Source organism: Homo sapiens, chromosome 4, assembly GCF_000001405.40.
Source record: "Homo sapiens chromosome 4, GRCh38.p14 Primary Assembly".
Lineage (NCBI taxonomy): Eukaryota > Metazoa > Chordata > Mammalia > Primates > Hominidae > Homo > Homo sapiens.
Genome location: NC_000004.12, coordinates 24,657,225 through 24,675,894, shown reverse-complemented (window position 1 = coordinate 24,675,894; position 18,670 = coordinate 24,657,225). Strand labels below are relative to the sequence as shown.

The window sequence follows — 18,670 nt, the reverse complement described above, 5'->3', positions numbered from 1 at the left end:
GTAACCTGGGACCTCAGCTGGGGCTTGTCCTGGAGGAAGTGGTGACATCTCTCATGACCTGGCTTGGGAAGTTACATTCTGCATCACACACAGAAGTCCTGGGCCTCCCATATTCAAGGGGAGCAACACAAGCTCTCCATAGTGGAGAGCTTGGGGACTACCACTGCATGTTCTCAGGAACAAACTGCCCTCCTGGTCACCGACCCTTAGTGCAGATGGAGCTCCAGCTAGGAATCGATCACATTAAAGAAAAACTCTAATTGCACAGATTCTGCAGTGCTTTTTCCAGCCAAAGCAAGAATTCTAAGTATTTCATACTGTGGATCCCCTTGGCATTATCATATAATAGAATCTATGGATTCTTCAGAATACTATTTTCAAGTGCATGAAATAAAAACATAGGATTACAAAGAAAACCAGTTGTACAGAAACACAGTCATCAAACTATTTAGTTACATTATAATTTAGTCAGCTCTAGCAGCAGGTATCACAAATTCTGTAATTTCTATTTTTTTTTTTTTTTAGATGGAGTCTCACTCTGTCACCCAGTCTGGAGTGCAGTGGTGCGATCTTGGCTCACTGCAACCTCCGCCTCCCAGGTTCAAGTGATTCTCCTGCCTCAGCCTCCTGAGTAGCTGGGACTACAGGTGCGTTACCACATCCAGCTAATTTTTGTATTTTTAGTAGAGATGGGTTTTCACCATGTTGGCCAGGCTGGTCTCAAACTCCTGACCTCAGGTGATCCACCCACCTCAGCCTCCCAAAGTGTTGGGATTACAGGTGTGAGCCACTGTGCCCAGACAAATTCTGTAATTTCAAAGTTGTGATGAACATAAATGATATTTCAAAATACCTGTAACAATGACAATGCAATATGAAATGATTGGTGATTTCTAATGATGACAAGTTCGCAAATACTGCCAATACCACTGTGGTTTGTTGCCTACATTCATATTTAAAGGAAATGTTGAGTTTCAGCTGAAGGCTAATGAAACTAAAGATGTGATTTTTTTCCTCTCACCTAGGTGTGCATTTCTCTGAATGGGCGCTGCTTAGGTGCCCCAGACCTAGAGGTGCAGGTGCTCTTTGGACAGCAGAGCAACCAGGAGAGCTTCGGGAAGAATAAGGTGAGGTCAGGCCTGGGTACAGGATGGGCAGAGGGCAGGAAGGCAGGAGCTCAACTGGGCAGCATGAGAAAGTAACAGGGATATGGATGGGGAGAAGGTTCTAGAAGGCAGAAATCTGGAGACCATGGTTAAAGGTGAGGCCTGAGGGGAAAATTCCCTAGTGAGAAAATTCCCTCTGGCTAGAATGGCCAAGGAAACTTTAGGCCCTATTGAGATTCCTTACACTTGATCTTGTCTCTCCACCCCCAGCCAATGGCCTGAAATTACTTATAGCTGCCGCACATGAACCACTTCCCTTTTTCTGCCAGTCTAGGGTCTTCCAGCAGATACAAACAGAATTTCTGCTGCAGCAACTTTCCTGAGCCAGTTGGTCCAGCCCCTTCTGTGGGGGCTTGAAGGAACTAATTAACTATAGCTGTCTCCTCTGTGCCAAAAAGGGAGTACCAGGAATGAATTGGAGATGAATGTCCAAACATCCGCTTTATTGTTACTGAAATCTGGATTGGAAGGTACGACTCAGAGGTGGGCTTCCAACTTCTCCCTGCCTCTCCCGCCACCTACACACCCCATTCTGAAGCCAGGAACCTGTAGGGGAAAGTTTGAGTCTGTGGAGCACACGACTTACTCAGGACTGCTCCCTGGCACTGGCCCAGGGAAGGAGGGTGGAGGGGAAGAGGGCAGAGAGAGACAACACACACACATTTACCTTTAGGATTCTTGACAGGTTTGTTCCTTCCAATCTAGAAGCATGGATCGATGGCCATCACTCACCAAGAAGGTGACTCCCTCCACCTCCAAGGGGAGGAGTAAGAAGTGTAGCAGGAGGCCAGGAGCGCTTTGGGAAAACTAATAGGGGGTCCCCCTTCAACACCCACATTCTGAACTCTCCTACGCAGGTATAAATAATCATCATTATGATTATTATTATTATGAAGAGGAGAATCAAAAGGGCTTTTTACCTTGTGATAGGGACTAGATTAAAATTTTAATACATAATCTCCTTTAATTTTCACAACAACCCTCTATCGTAGGAGGTTGAACCACATGAAACTGTAGATGCTGGACCATTTTGACTCACAAAAATGGTAATTTTGTATCCTTCAACCTAATGATTCCCCTGTTTCACAGGTGAGGTCACTGAGACTTACAGAAGGTAAGCAACTTGCCAAGGACCTCATAGCTGATAAGTGATCCATCTGGAGCTTGCACTGAGACCTGACTCCAAGGCCTGTGGTTGGAACCATGGCAGTAATTACGATGGAGGTGCGGTGGCACCGCCCAGAACACACCTGGAGGATTGTGGGGCTCATTTCACAGCACAACAAACACCCACCTTTTCTCTTTCGGTCCTGTGCCTGTGCCACGGATTAAGAATAATGAGATAAATAATATACAGGATCTGCCTCCAGAGCCACCTTGCACATAGTATAGTAGGTGTTCAATAAACATATTTTTGACAGGTTTGTCACTGAGGCTCACCTTCTAGGGCACAAAGCACAAGGAAGGCCTGCTTGCTTGGGAGATGACTGCAACCTTGCAGTGTCCAGCCCTTTACCATTAACAAAGTTAATGCACACGCATTCCCGGAGCTGGCCTCCTTCCTTGTTAAGCGCCTGATTAAGGACTGAAATGATTGCTTAGCCTGCTTCCTGAGGGCGATGACTCTCTGCTGCTCAGAATCCTGCCGCTTACAGTAGAAATCAGGGCCAGAGTGGAAGCAGCCTCGGGCCAAGTTGGAGAAATGCTAGAGATTCAGAGGCGGGGCAATTTCTGATTCCTTTTTGCATTTTCCCTGAATGTAAATCAACCATGGGGTTCTCACCCATATCCCAAATCACTCCTGGAAAACAGATCTTACTTCAGGTACAACCTGACCCATGGCGGCAGTAGTACCCTCAGGCGGTGAAATCTTGCACCCCAGGCTGGGAAGGCGATATGTTCAGCCTATCAGCGCTTCATTCCCCAATTCCCCAGTACTAGGGTCTGGCGAGGGGATCACCCCAGCCTGACAGTTCTGCCTCCTAAACACTTCTAATTGCTGCTGCCACCACCCAAGCTCAGAGAGAGCAATAATCTCTTCCCCAGATTATTGATCTTTTAAACTCTGTGCTGGGCGCAGTGGCTCACGCCTGTAATCCCAGCACTTCAGGAGGCTGAGGAGGGCTGATCACTTGAGGCCAGGAGTTCGAGGCCAGCCTGGCCAACATGGTGAAACCCCGCCTCTACTAAACATACAAAAATTCACCTGGCATGATGGCACGCGCCTGTATTCCCAGCCGCTTGGGAGGCTGAGGCACGAGAGTCACTTGAATCCGGGAGGCAGAGGTTGCAGTGAGCTGAGGTCACACCACAGCACTCTAGCCTGGGCAACAGTGAGACCCTGTCTCAAAAAGAAAAGAAAAGAAAAGAAAAGAAAAGAAAAGAAAAGAAAAGAAAAGAAATAAAAGAAAAACACAACTCTGATTACATGGCTTCAGACTCTTCAAAGTGGTGTCATGATGACCTTAGAACAAAGTCCAGCCTCCCTCACTGGGCCTGTGAAGCTGCCCCCCTCCTGGCCCCTACCTAACTCCCTTCCGCCTCTCCTTCCCACACACCCAAGGCTCCAGCCACACCGCACTTCTCTCGCTCCTCAAGCATGTCATTCTCAGAGAACTTCCATACACACTGTTCATCCACCCACAGCATCCTCCCCGTCTCCACTCATCTTCGCCCTTATTTCCTGGGAGACTTTCTCCGTTCCTCCTCGAGCTCCCATACAACCCTGCACTTCCTCTTTCCTAATACTTTTCCCACACCATTGTACTTCCTTTTTCAATTATCTGCCTCTCCCACTACATCTGGTTGAGTTGCAATCTAGTTTCAGTAAATACCTGTCAAATGCATAGATGAACAAATGAACAAATAAAAGAGGAAATTAAAGTTCCATGCTCCAGAATATGTAGCCAGTTTTGGATCTGAGAGATCTTTAGTTCTGGAAGACAGACATACAGACCCCAGGCTCCAATTGGCACACATGTATCTGGGCAGTTCCAAAACCCTGTGGAAGTCTCAGCACCCGAGGCCACAGTGTGTCAGGGGTGGACTCCATAAGTCCAGTATAGGGCAGTGGCTGTGAATCAGGATTCATTCTTCATCCCACAGATCTAATCCCATTCAACAACACCAGGTCTAAGTCCAATAAAAGATGCCATCCGACTTCTGGATTTGCTTTTATTATTCATCTCAAATATGATAAAAATAAGTTTTCCCCCAAACTTGAAATGGACCGAGGATTTCTCGATTTCTGGGCTGCCCAAATGAACACTGCATGGGAGCAGCCTTCCTTATGGACAGTTTTGCTTTACCAATGGCTTGCTGCTGTGTCCTCAAGGACAGGGGCCCGGGTTACCTGCAAACCCCTGGTGTTCTTGTATTGCCATAAAGAAATACCTGAGACTGGGTAATTTATAAAGAAAGGAGGTTGAATTGGCTCATGGTTCTGCAGGCTGTACCAGAAGCATGGCGCCAACATCGCTCAGCTTCTGAGGAGGCTCCAGGGAGCTTTTAGTCCTGGCAGAAGGCAAAGGGATCATGCGAGTCCCATGGCAAAAGCAGGAACAAGAAAGAGTGGGGGTGGGGAGAGGTGCCATACACGTTTAAACCACCAGATCTTGTGAACACTCAGAGTGAGTGTTCCCTCATCACCAAGAGGATGGCCCAAGCCATTCATGAGGGATCTGCTCCCACGACCCGAACACCTCCCACCAGGGCTTACCTCCAACATTGGGGACTACAATTCAGCATGAAATTGTGGTGGGGATACAGATCTAAACCATATCACCTGTCCACAATATGTGGTGGACGCTGTGCTGTGCTGCTTAAGATGGCTTTTAGCACAAAAGACTCTCCTTCAGCTGCTGACAGTACCTCTGGCATGCAGCCGTCAGCTGTCAGCTCGCTTCAGGAACCACCTGAGCGAGGGGAGCTGCCTCAACTAGGGTGGCCCACATCTAATGACTGATCAACGTGGGGGTATGATATATTTTGGATCTGTGTCCTCTACCCAAATCTCACGTGGAATTATAAATCCCCAGTGTTGGAGGTGAGGCCTGGTGGGAGGTGATTGGATCGTGGAGGTGGTTTCTCATGGTTTAACACCATCTCCCTTGGTGGTGTTGTGACGAGAGTGAGTTATCAGGAGATCTGGTTGTTTAAAGGCGTGTAGCATCTCCTGCCTCTCTCTCTCCTCCTGCACCGGCCCTGTGAACTGCCTGCTCCCGCGTCACCTTCTGCCATGATTGTACATTTCCTGAGGCCTCCCAAGAAGCTGAGCAGATGCCAGCATCATGCTTTTTGTATAGCATGAGGAACTGTGAGCCAATTAAACCTCTTCTTTATAAATTACCAGTCTCAGTTATTTCCTTCTTTCCTTTTTTTTTTTTTTTTTGACAGACTTTCGCTTTATTCCCTAGGCTGGAGTGCAGAGGCACAATCTCAGCTCACTGCAACCTCCACTTCCTGGGTTCAAGCAATTCTCCTGCCTCAGCCTCCCGAGTAGCTGAGATTACAGACATGTGCCACCACGCCTGGCTAATTTTCGTATTTTTAGTAGAATTGGGGTTTCACCATATTGGCCAGGCTGGTGTCAAACTCTGACCTCGTGATCTGCTCGCCTCGGCCTCCCAAAGTGCTAGGATTAAGGACGTGAGCCACGGCGCCAGGCCATAGTTATTTCTTTATAGCAGTGCAAGAATGGCCTAATACAGGGCTAAATGCCCAGCTCCCTCATCTCAGCTTGGGATAATTTAGAGGACATATTCTAGCTTCAGGACATGACTCAGAATTGGCTGAGGTCTCCATTGAGGCTTCAACACAGCTCAACTTCTCCTTCTGGCCAATCCTGATTCCTTCCCTTCCTTATTACAGGCATTGATCCCAAGAGCTCTTCCTAATGAACCACAGGCACAATCTCTCCATCTCAGAGCAAACTTATAGGAGAAGAGAAGTTCCACATGGCCAGCAGTTGTAACTCTGCTATGCCTCCAGGAAGTCGCAGCAGAAGAGAAGAAGGAGGAAGGATGCTCTGGTGTCCTGGTGTTGGAGAGCCTGGGTGGTCCAGCTCACACAGTGTTTCACCTGTTTCCCCTATTGTCCTCCCGGCCAGGGGTCCAGGATCGTTGGGCTCTCTCATTATCAAAATCTAATCTTCGGCTGTTTTCTTATGCTTAAAATGAGAGAAATAGACTCAATGGTTTGTAAGCGCTACAATTATGATGCTTTGAACATTTAAAAACATAGTCATGTGCTTTTAAATCTCAAACCCACATATTTCAGAGAGTCCCAATTTATGCAAACGCCAACTCAAGAACATTACAATATACTATTTACTTTTTCAATACACTCTATTTTAGTAAATAGATTTATGTCACATCATTGAAGAACATTCAATGAGTGCCCGCCAGATGCATCGTATAGCACTTGAAAAATCAGCAATTGTTGAGATGTTGACATGTTTAAATTTGGCTCATATTACATGAAGCAAATGGGAGTGCATAACTTAGATTAGGAATTACATTCATGCTACATGGCTGTTGTTTCTTCTCCCTCTTCATCTTTTTCTTCTTCTTTCAAGCTGCCAGATGGTGTGGATCAAATTATTCCAGAATGCAGAGAGCCTGGATTTCTGCAGATGAGCCTAACAGTCGGTGCCGACTTGTGCTTCTATCACTGCTGCTCACGGTGGTGTAATCGGCTCCCACCCCAGGAGCCCCCAGCCAGCCGTACAGCGGAGGCATAAGCGTGGTTCCAGCAACAATCCTCAGTACGCTTTGAGAATTCTGAAATAAAACTTGTATCTCTTTCATTTATTTTCTTAAACTCTTAAAATTTCAGTTTTTAAAAATGAACTGGCCAGGGCCGGGCATGGTGGCTCATGCCTGTAATCCCAGCACTTTGGGAGGCCGAGGCAGGTGGATCACCTGAGGTCAGGAGTTCAAGACCAGCCTGGCCAACATGGCGAAACCCCGTGTCTACTAAAAATACAAAAATTAGCCAGGTGTGGTGGTGCACATCTGTAATCCCAGCTACTCAGGAAGCTGAGGCACGAGAATCGCTTGAACCCGGGAGGCAGAGGTTACAGTGAGCCGAGATTGGGCCACTGTACTCCAGCATGGGTGACAGAGCGAGACACTCTCAAAATAAATAAATAAATAAATAATAAAATAAATTAAAAAAATGAACTGGACTGCTGGGATACTGTAAAATACAGTGAATAAATTCCAGTTTCAAGAGTCATATAGACAATGATTAGATAGCCCATTTTTTCTGAGCATTTTCTATCTATTAACTTATTTCACCTTCATAGCAATGTCTCCATTTTACAGAGGAGAAAATAGAAGCACCAAAGAGAAGAAGGGCATCTTGCCTAAGGTTACCCAACTCATAAGAGAAACAGCCAGGATTTTAACCCTGGCAGTTTGGGTTAGGCTTTCAATAGTTTCCATCTGCTAAGTGGTCAATTAATATATTTATCATCCAGTAACCTCATTAAAAGACAGGAATAAGAACATCATCTTCAATATAGGGTTGCTATGAGATGATAAGAAGATGCAAGGAATGCATTTGGCTCTCAGCCAGGCACACAGTGAGCACTCAGAATGTATTAATATTTGCCCCTACTCAATTGCAAGGGGCCTATCAAGGGAAGTGCATATATCCCTTCAATATCTCACTATTGAATCTGATTTGGAAACTTCATCTTTGAGGTGTTCACCACTTTGTTCCTCCATAACGTTTAACCAACAAGGATTCCAACTATCTGGAGAGCAAGTGGGTTTGCTGTGTGTATGTGTGTCCACACCTTCAGGAACACCACCGGGTGCCTCCTGGCTGCACTCATTCACCTGGTATTCCACAGCCTGGGAGTTCCATGCTCATGTCCACTTCCAAGGTACAGAAGAGAGGACATGCTTTGAGCAGAGACCAAAGCAGGGACAAAAGGCAACCTAAACATTTGGCTTCATCTTTTCAGCACCAAGTTTCAACTCATATGTTGCTGGTGAGAAGCTATAAATTGGTGTAGGCTTTATAAAGAATTGGCAATGTCTATCAAAATTTTAAACATGCATATCTCATGACTCTGGAAGAAATTATATCAAATGTATAAGAGCACTGATAAACTGTTTCAAGGGCACTGTTTCAAGGGCACTGATAAACACAGATGAAAATCTATCTAGATGCCCATAAGTTATGGGATATCTATATAATGAAATAGAATGTTGCAAGAAATAATAAGATATTAGTAGCTCACTATACTGATAAGGAACACCACCAAGATATATAATTAAGTGAAAAAGCAAGATGTAGAACGTTATCACTTGTGTAAAAACTGTATCTATATATACACATATATACTACACATACACATATACACATATGAATATATGTGTGTGTATATATACATGTATACCTATGTATGTATACATAGGTATGTATATATAGATAGATAGATATAGATCTAGATCTAGATATAGATAGATATAGATCTAGATCTAGATATAGATAGATATAGATAGCCCTCTCTTAGTTTGGGTTCCTCCAGAATCACACTCTGAGATGTTCGCTTGCAATCCCAGGAAATTCCGATAGGAGAGTGGAGAAGTAAGGCAAGGAAGAAAAGGTAGTCAATTAAGGGAAAATATCAAGAACGTTACCACTGAGAGCAACTGGACGGCAATCCTGCAGGGTGAAACAAGCCAACAGTGTAGAACTCCCTTCAGAGTTATCTCACCTAAGATAAGCTGAGGTATTTATCCACCAACTTTCCACCTGTCTTTGGTTGTGGGCTACTTCCAGGAGCATTAACTCTTGGGCAATTCCAGTTTGCCAAAGGTGCTCCCAGGGCCAGAACAAAAAGCCCCCAGGCAGAAAAATTTGGATAGTCACAAAAAGCAGCCTTTGGTGTGTTGAGGTGAGAGACGATAAGATATTAGGTGGGGCACTAACAGGCAGAGTATGTTTGGAAGGAGATGCACAAGGTAGTAGGGGTGGGGAAGAGGAAGGAGAGCTATTAATAAGACTGAAAGAGAGGCATTTTCACTATGACCTCTATTGTTCTTTTGGAATGTTGTGATGTGCATATATCACCCATTCTCAAAGTAAATAAAATAATATAGAGAAATTAAATTGAGCCCCTGCACAGATGCACGAGGGGTGGGTGGCTAACAAGCATGGCTCCAGGGCACCCGGGCACTACTGACATTGTGAGCCAGATAATTCTGCCTTGTGCATTGTGGCATGTTTGGCAGCATCCCTGGCCTCTGCCCACTAAATGCCAGTGTACTCCCTCCCGAGTTGTGATCATCAAAAATGTTTCCAGACATTGCCAAATGTCCCCTGATATGGGTATGGCAGGGCAAAATCACTTCTTACCCTGTTGAGAATCTCTGCTCTAGGGAACCTGATGAGGTTAGTTATATCCCTCCAGTAAACTGAGGCACAAGGTGGTCTAATGCAGCATATCCAGAGCTCTGCATGAAGCCTGTGTACATGGAGGGACCACCCAGTTTATCCCATAAAAGGAGTGGAGAAGCTGTTGGTGGCTCTCTCCCCTGCCCTTCGCTATGGGCTCCCCCTCCAAGTACATACCACCCCTCACCTCCCATGCACGTGATTAACACAACCGACAGGACACTTGGAGGCAGCAGGTCTTGCTCACATAGACACCATGCAGGTATTTCAAGACACTGTGGTATAATCTGCTGCCCAACAGCGTTTGGGGAAGCTTTGCGTCTGACCTTGGACACAGCTGAATCAAATATGGCTCCTGCCTGAAGTAGCTCCCAGCTTCAGGGAGAAGCCAAGCGTGAAAGGTGAGCCTTCACAGCAAAGGGCTAGTCAGGCACTAAGAGGCTGGGCCCTTTCTCCTCCACCCTCCTTCCCTTTCTTTGCTCCCCTCTCCATTCTGTCTGCCCTTGGGAGCACTTCTCACTCTCCCAAATTATGCTTTTCATTTTATTTACTTGTTTGTTATTTGCCAGCCTCTACTAGAAGTAGCTCAGATGGAAATTGGGATGGGTTCAGTCCTGTTCTTGCTGTTACCACAGCATCAAGAACAGCAATTGGCACAAAGGAGGTGGTCAATAAATGCCTATTCATTGAATGGATGAATGAATATTCTGGAATATTGGAGAAGGAGGAGTGAAAACATAAATGAGGATGAGGGAAAAGAGAAAGAACAAGGCAGGAACCAGGACAGGAGACACCTGGAAGTCTCCAGGCATAGCTTCTACTGCTGAGAACTGGAATAAGATGAAAGCTCCTCCCCAACAAGGAGAGGGGCTACCTTCCCACCATCTCTTCCTTACCTCTTGCCAGTTGCCTTCCAGAAGCTAGAGCTGGACTGCCATTTCCAGGGTGTAACACCATCAGAAGCTGGTGGTATCTCTGAAATGAACTGACTTCAGATGGATTTGCATGGCTTTGTGCCCCACTTACCAGGTCCTTGCAGCATCTGCCATTTTTGCAAACAGGCAGTGGGGAAAAAAGGAGTCTTTGTTTCATCGGAATGAAAGCCAGCTTTTCCTGAGGCTGTGTAGAATAGTTGTGATTGTTTGGATCACTGTTGAGCAATGCTCATGCTCCCTCCTTCTGTGGGCCAAGTATATCTCCCTGCTCCACAGATGTTGGGCTCAGCATCATAGCTTCTTTTGACCAATGGAATGCTAGCAGACACAATATGACTAGAGACCTTAAATGCACTCACCGATGAGGGCTTGGTTCTTACATTCTGGTATTCTCCCAAGGGAAGAGCATACCCTGCACAGCTACTGCCCTTTCAGAGTGAAAACACATGGAGTGGACTTGAACCCAACTCCCAGCCTAGACCCTATCCCACGGGAATCACAGCTTGAAGCAGAGGCATGCAACTGAGCCCAACTGGGATCACCCATACCACAGTCATCCTACAGAACCATAAGCATGAGAGTAAATTCTGGTTGTAAGCCACTGAGTTTCTACGTGGATTGTCAAGCAGCATTATGTGGCAATAGAGGATTGACTCCATATTATTCACATTATTAGCAATGCCTGGTCCAAAGTCAGGCATGAGCTGTAATAATGGCTCTTTCTCTATAGCTACACAGCTTTGGGCAAGTTAGCTAAACTTTTGAGCCTCAGTTTCTTAAACTATATATAAAAAAGTAATAATAGCATGACTTTCAGCACTGTTGTCAGGATTAAATGTGATCATCTATATAAAATGCTTAGCATAGCCTCTGGCCCAGAGTAAAGATTCTATAAATCAGAGATCACAAATTGGAAGTGTGTCTTCAAAAAATTCAATTAATTGTCTCTATTGGGATCAATTACCAACTGCCAACTGGGAAATTCTGTATTTTAAAAAATCCAGATTTATATCTTCTCTTGAAAAATCAGAAAATCTTGTGACACCGAGCCAGCATTCCTATACAGCAACAATGGATAGAGCCGGGGGTAGCATATCACTGTGTGTAGAGTAGAAAACCTGACCACAGGGGCTTAAATAAGTAAGGGGTTAATTTTCTTCTTGCAGCTAGATGTCCAGGGCTGGCAGTGAGGCTGAGCAATGCCAGCAGGGACCTAGGCTCCTCAGCCTTGCTGCTCTGCTGTCTTTAAGCATGAAGTGTTTGGTCCTCATGATCTCAAGATGGCTCCTGCACAGCAAGCTATGGCATCTGTGTTTCAGGCAGGAAAAGGAGGAGGGAATGGCAAAGGAGCAAAGGACAAAATCTCTCCTAGCAAGACTTTGCTTTTTTATACAAGAAAGGAAGACTTTCCAGGGACTTCCACTTATGTCTTACAGGTTAGAAGTGAGGCAGCCTGGGCAACATGGTGAAACCCCTTCTCTACAAAAAATTAAAAAATTAGCCAGGCCTGGTGACATGCACCTGTAATCTCACTCAGGAGGCTGAGGTGGAAGGATCGTTTGAGCTTGGGAGGCAGAGGTTGCAGTGAGCTGAGGTCGCACCACTGCACTCCAGCCTAGGAAACATAGCGAGACCTGGACACACACACACACACACACACACACACACACACACACAAAAGAAATAAGGGAGGGAGGAGGGAGAGCATCAGGAAAAATAGCTAATGCATACTGGGCTTAGTACTTAGGTGATGGGTGGATAGTTGCAGCAAACCACCATGGCACATGTTTACCTATGCAATAAACCTGCACATCCTTCACATGTGCCCCAGAACGCAATAAAATAATAAAATAAAATAAAATAAAATGAAACAAAATAAAATAAAATAAAATAAGGAAAGAAAAAACAGGAGAACAAAAAAGAAAGAAGGAGTTAGAAAGATGTTGAGTAACTCAAGCTAGAGTCTCTCAGTTTAGCAACTCTCCCAAGCCATTTACCTTCCCTCCATGGCCCCTGAGTTTGCCTGTGTTTGCAGCTCCTGCCATATGTGGTATCTGTTTTGATTACTCTCAGCTGAATCGGGCACAGTTTTGGAGTGCACTCTTCAGTCTCCCTTCTGGCTTAGCCCTTCTAAGCTCATGACAGAACTGAATGTCCAAGGTCCCCCACACCCCAGCTACTTTGCCACATTCTTTGCCTTTAGCCTCTCGTCTAGGGCAGGGGCAATAGACAGTGTGCTCAAAGAAGAAATGGGAAGTTTCTGGGCCACCTCTTAAAGATAGCTTTGAGCATACTAGCCATATTCTTGATGCAGCCTTGGCTAAAACTGAGAAAATACTTTTCCCTTCCACTCTCTTTGTCCTGTTTTTTTCCTTTAGATGGACATTGATAGTTTCATGCCATTTTTCAAGGCAGGCGACTGAAGTTCCAGGAGGTGACCTCTATTTACTACAATAAAATTAGTGATTTATAGAAAGTCAGAATTCTGCAATTCCCCAAACTCCCCTTTTATCCCTAACTACTGTGTCAACAAAGCACCCAGCATCCAGCCTGGTTCAAAGGTCTGAACTGTGTAGCAAAATAAATCATTTTAAAAATCCCAATAGTAGTGTATGGTGTGAGCATTCTTAACTTGAATTGAGTAAGGAGGAAGAGAGCAGATGCAGCCAACCTTGGCTGTGGTTTATTACTCAAGTTGATGTGGGGCAGAGAAGATTGGATATTTAATGTCAATGATACCGTGAGAGGGGGTGAAAAATTCCAAGTTCCACTAGAAAATAACAAGGTAAAATTTAGGTCCCATAAGCCCTAGCCTATTTTTTCTTTCCTCCCCCTCCCCGACTGTCACTCTCCCAGTTTTTTAACCTTCTTCCTTTCCTCTCTTCCTCCCTCCCTGCCTGCTGGTCTATTTCTGAGTCCACTGTTGAAGGCCTAGCAAATTTTTTAGTAGGGCCCTAATTTAAGTTCCTCATTGACATTCTAATATATGCAGAATGCCGATCCCAAACTCACTTATTCAAATGCACTGGATGTTGTGCTTTACATCACAATGTTCAAACCTAAATCTCTGGAGTGCACAGAGCTGCCCAGGGTCTGTGTGTGTGGGGGCGGGGGGGGGGGGGCGGGGAGGTGGGGTTTGCCTTGTTTTGACAAATTTGTGCATTAAAGGTGGTCACTGCTCCAGGCAGCTCAGGAATCCTGGAGAGGAAAGTCCTGTCCACGAGATAGGGGAGTAAGCTTGACGAGTCTGGCTGTTCAGTTACATCAGCTCACTGCAGTTTAGCAAATTAGTTTTGAGCTCCTATTACATTTAGGCGCAGTGCTTGGTGCTGGGGATACAAAGACTCACAAGGTATCATCCTCCCCTCAAGAACTCACCACCTAGAGGTGGGGATGGACCCCAAATAAATGATATGCCCTTCCAGAGGAGCTCTACATCTCCTAAGACCTGTGCTCCTTGAACTTTAATGTGCACACAAATTCCCTGTGGTTCCAGTGAAATGTCAGTTTAGATTCATTAGGTGAGGGTGGGCTCTGAGATTCTGCAGGTCTGATGAGCTCCTGGGTGATGCCCAGGCTGCTGGCCAGGGGCCACACTTTGCCCATTCTAAGGTTGGGTGTCCGCTGTGAAGAGGCAGCCTAGAGGGCTGCTGAGTAAGAAAAGCCCCAGGGGCCAGGCATGGTGGCTCACACCTGTAATCCCAGCACTTTGGAAGGCCAAGGCGGGCAGATCACTTGAGGTCAGGAGTTCAAGACCAGCCTGACCAACATGGTGGAACCCTGTCTCTACTAAAAATACAAAAATTAGCCGGGCATGGTGGCGCATGCCTGTAATCTCAGCTACTCAGGAGGCTGAGGCAGGATTCAACCACTCGAACCTGGGAGGCGGAGGCTGCAGTGAGCTGAGATTGCTGTACTCCAGCCTGGGCAGCAGAGCCAGACTCGGTCTCCAGAAAAAGAAAGAAAAAAAAAAGCCCCAAGGAGCAAGTAGAGGCTGTGTCTTCAGAAGCTTGTGCACTTAAGAAGCATGTGCCTCCACTCAGAGTAAGGAGTGCAAACTCCTTTTCCAGGCTTTACCCATCTTCGTAAGGCCACCTGTCTCAGTGTCTGTGGCGTGTGAACCAGAGCAACTCCATCTTGAATAGGAGCTGGGTAAAATGAGGCTAAGGCCTACTGGGCTGCATTCCCAGATGGTTAAGGGATTCTAAGTTACGGGATGAGACAGGAGATACAAGACACAGGTCATAAAGACCTTGGTAATAAAACAAGTTGCAGTAAGAAACCACTGAAAACCCATCAAAACCAAGATGGTCATGAGAGTGACCGCTGGTCATCCTCACTACTACACTTCCACCAGCGCCATGACAGTTTATGGATGCCATGGCAATGTCAGGAACTTACCCTATATAGTCTAGAAAGGGGAGGCATGAATAATCCACTCATTGTTTAGCATATGATGGAAAAATAACCATAAAAATAGACAACCAGCAGCCCTCTGGGTGTTCTGTCTATAAAGCAGCCATTATTTTATTCCTTTATTTTCTTAATAAACTTGCTTTCACTTTTTTGTATGGCTCACCCTGAATTCTTTCTTGCACAAGATCCAAGAACCCTCTTTTAGGGTCTGGATCGGAACCCCTTTCCTGTAACAATGGCGTTGCCATAAACCAAAGGAGCATTTTTCGGCTGTAGCCTGAGTGATTTGACTGTTTCCGGAGGCAAATATTTGAAAATGAAACAGCAAACCAGTGCCTAGGGTTAGGGGAGAGTCAGTGCATTCTAATTATTAGGTCACCCTTCATTTCTCTTTTCTGTCTTCATTGGAAAAAGAAGGCCAGGTGCAGTGGCTCACGCCTATAATCCTACCACTTTGGGAGACCAAGGTCGGAAGATCACTTGAGCCCAGGAATTTGAAACCAACCTGGGCAGTACAGTGAGACCTTGTTTTACTTAAAAGAGAGAGAGAAAGAGAAAGGAAAAAGGAGTTTTTTTAGTGCCCTGCATATTCTGGAAGTCTCCATGGAGGCTCTTTTCTCCCTTGCTCCTTGTCTCTTAAAGGTTACTGTAGATGCTAGAGCCTGTTTTGTCCTTCTGAATCTCTATTTAGAAAACTTTTCCTTCTCATTTCTTGTAAAGGATCGTGTCAGGGACCCACCATGTGGAAAATCTTTGGAAGATCAATGAGTTCCCAGTCCACAAAGCTCCAAATGTGTGCTATTGTATCAGCTATCTATTGCCATAGCTGAGGCTGTATAACAAACAAGACCTCATAAGCAGTATACTTATTGCTCATGCATCTGGTGGTGGTCAGCTTGCAAATTCTGCTGGTTTCACTCACATATCTGAAGGTCATCCAGTTGTCAGAAGATCTAGGCTGGTCCTGGCTAGTCAACTGGAGAGACTGGGGCGCTGCTCTGGGTACTGTCTTCCAGCAGGCTCTCCCAGGCATGTTTTCACAGCAATGGTGGAGGCTCAGGAGTGCAAGCAGACACGTAGTGCTTTTTTCCAAGCTTACACTTGCATTATGTCTGCTAAAATCCCATTTGTCAAAGAAAGTCACATGGCTTGGCAGAGTCAGAGTTGGGAGTGTACTGCAAAGTTACTTCAGTAAAGGGCATGGATATGGGGAGGAGAGAAAAACTAGAGCCATGAATGCAATCCATCTACCACATCTTTCACATGCAACAGTGTAACTTTACACTTGTAGTTAAGCTGATCCAAGCAATATCTTTGCATACAGCAAACAGCTACCCTTCTCTGCTCCCAGAAAGACAACAGCTGCAGAAAGTCAAGAGCAAACAAAGGCATCTGAGAGGAGGGAGAGCAACAGTATTTACTGACAATGCTCTATTCATAATCCACATTTAATTCAAACTCAAAAGGATGCATTTACAATCTGCCAGGTTTTAACAGCCCCACCCTTTAAGTGGCATCTATGCAGCAGTAGAAATAGTAAGCTTTCTGCCTCCTTCAAAAGCAAGGGCCTGAGCTCACAAGGTAAACAAAGGGTAATGAAACAGCAAATGGCAGAGTGTCAAGTTGTTGGAAGGTGTCTAGCGGAATGCCATGGGGACACGGTTTCATTCTGGTCTCATTTAACATCCTCATTAATGATCTGGAAGAGGGAGTAAACAGCACCTTAATTATAATCACAAGTGATGCTAAATTAGGATTTCTTGCCTGCATCAAAAGAAGGGACTCTGAAAGGACCAAGTGGGAGATGGAATTCCAGCTTAAGAAAGGGAACTAGCACCAAGGAAAAACTATCACAGCATGGCTGGGCGCAGGAGCTCACACCTGTAATCCCAGCACTTTGGGAGGCCAAAGCAGGTGGATCAATTGAGGTCAGGAGTTTGAGACCAGCCTGGCCAACACAGTGAAAACCTGTCTCTACCAAAAAATACAAAAATTAGCTGGACATAGTGGCGCATGCCTGCAGTCCCAGCTACTTGGGAGGTTGAGGTGGGAGGATCACTTTAGCCTGGGAGGTGGAGATTGCAGTGAACCGAGATTGTGTGCCACTGCACTCCAGCCTGGGCGACAGAATGAGACCCTGAAAAAAAATAAAGAGAGAGAGAGAAAGAAAGAAGGAAAGAAAGAAAGAAAGAAAAAAGGAAAGAAAGAAAGGAAGGAAGGAAGGAAAAAAGAAAGAAAGAAAGAGAAAGAAAGAAAGAAAGAAAGAAAGAAAGAAAGAAAGAAAGAGAAAGAAAGAAAGAAAGAAAAAGAGAAAAAGAAAAAGGGAGACAGAAAGAGAAAAATATCACAGCACATGCAGCAAAGGAAAAAGTCACTTGTAAGCAATGAGGCCAAAGGGCAAGGAAGCTGCCTGAAATTCTTTCTGGGAAAACCCAGGGTATTTGCAAATAAACCTTTTGGTTTCAACCTTGTTTTCCCTTGGAAAAACCTTGTTTTTAAGGGAAAAGTTTACAGCAAGCAGGTGGTATCAAGAAGTTACAGGTAGACATTCAGCCGGCTGTTCGGGGTGACGAACTTTCCATTCCAGAACCATAGCCCAATTTGTCTGTAACTTTGCAGAAAAGGCCCGGGCACTGGTGAACGCTGCTGTGACTTATGCAAAGCCTGGATTGGCCACATTTTGGTACTACGCCAAGGTTGAGCTGGTTCCTCCCACCCCTGTTGAGATTCCCTAGAGCTAGTCAGAGCCTGAAAACAATAGTCAATAGTGCTCAGACTGGTAGCTTCAAACAGCTCACAGTTAAGGAAGCTGTGCTGAATGGTTTCGTGGTCGCTGAGGTGTGGATGTGGTTTTGTGTTTAGCCAAGTGAGGCGTGAATGGTTATAATGTTTAAAGACCAATCTTTTTTTTTTTTTTTTTTTTTTGACGGAGTCACTCTGTTGCCCAGGCTGGAGTGCAGTGTTGCAATCTTGGCTCATTGCAACTTCTGCCTCCCAGGTTCAAGCGATTATCCTGCCTCAGCCTCCCGAGCAGCTGGGACTACAGGCATGCGTGACCACGCCCAGCCAAATTTTGTATTTTTAGTGGAGACAGGGTTTCACCATATTGGCCAGGCTGATCTTGAACTCCTGTCCTCGTGATCCACCCACCTCAGCCTCTCAAAGTGCTGGGATTACAGGTGTGAGCCACCACACCTGGCTGAAAACCAGTCTTTAACATCTGATTATATGTGATTTATTATTTGAGCGTTCTTTGACCATGTGTGATCAGACAGCTATCTGAATAAAATAAGATTTGTCCAAAAAAAAAATATATATATAAAGGGCCAGGCGCCGTGGCTCACGCCTGTAATCCCAGCACTTTGGGAGGCCTAGGCGGGCAGATCATGAGGTCAGGAGATCGAGACCATCCTGGCTAACACAGTGAAACCCTGTCTTTACTAAAAATATAAAAAAATTGGCCAGGCGTGGTGGCGGGTGCCTGTAGTCCCAGCTACTCGGGAGGCTGAGGCAGGAGGATGGCGTGAACCCAGGAGGCGGAGTTTGCATTGAGTGGAGATCGCACCACTGTGCTCCAATCTGGGTGACAGAGCGAGACTCCGTCTCAAAAAAAAAAAAAAAAAAAAAGTAATAAATAAGCGTAAGCTGCAGCAGGAGAAGGGGAGAAACACAATGTAATTTGAAGTATAAGCCGGGGAGCAGGAGACGCTTGACATTTTTTCCTTCATATTTCCCTTCTCC

At 45.5% G+C, this 18,670-nt stretch overlaps 1 long non-coding RNA gene and 1 pseudogene across 2 annotated transcripts, besides 1 other annotated feature; one reads left to right on the top strand and one right to left on the bottom strand.

Moving 5' to 3' along the window:
- Nucleotides 1-4,326: 4,326 nt before the first annotated feature.
- LINC02473 (long intergenic non-protein coding RNA 2473) lies at nucleotides 4,327-15,995 on the bottom strand. Of its 2 annotated transcripts, none has more exons than NR_183976.1 (2): nucleotides 15,852-15,995; nucleotides 4,327-6,333 (listed from the first exon to the last, which is right to left on the bottom strand). It is a non-coding gene; the product is annotated as a long intergenic non-protein coding RNA 2473 (long non-coding RNA). The 2 variants fall into 2 exon arrangements; NR_183977.1 differs by lacking the exon at nucleotides 15,852-15,995 and adding an exon at nucleotides 10,475-10,555.
- Nucleotides 17,340-17,981: an enhancer, noted in NCBI's record as "OCT4-NANOG-H3K27ac-H3K4me1 hESC enhancer chr4:24659537-24660178 (GRCh37/hg19 assembly coordinates)". NCBI's record gives its function as "activates a minimal SCP1, AML or CMV promoter by ChIP-STARR-seq in naive H9 embryonic stem cells {active_cell/tissue: H9 hESC(naive)}" and the evidence as "EXISTENCE:reporter gene assay evidence [ECO:0000049][PMID:30033119]".
- On the top strand, nucleotides 17,474-18,233 carry ATP5MGP3 (ATP synthase membrane subunit g pseudogene 3; annotated as a pseudogene).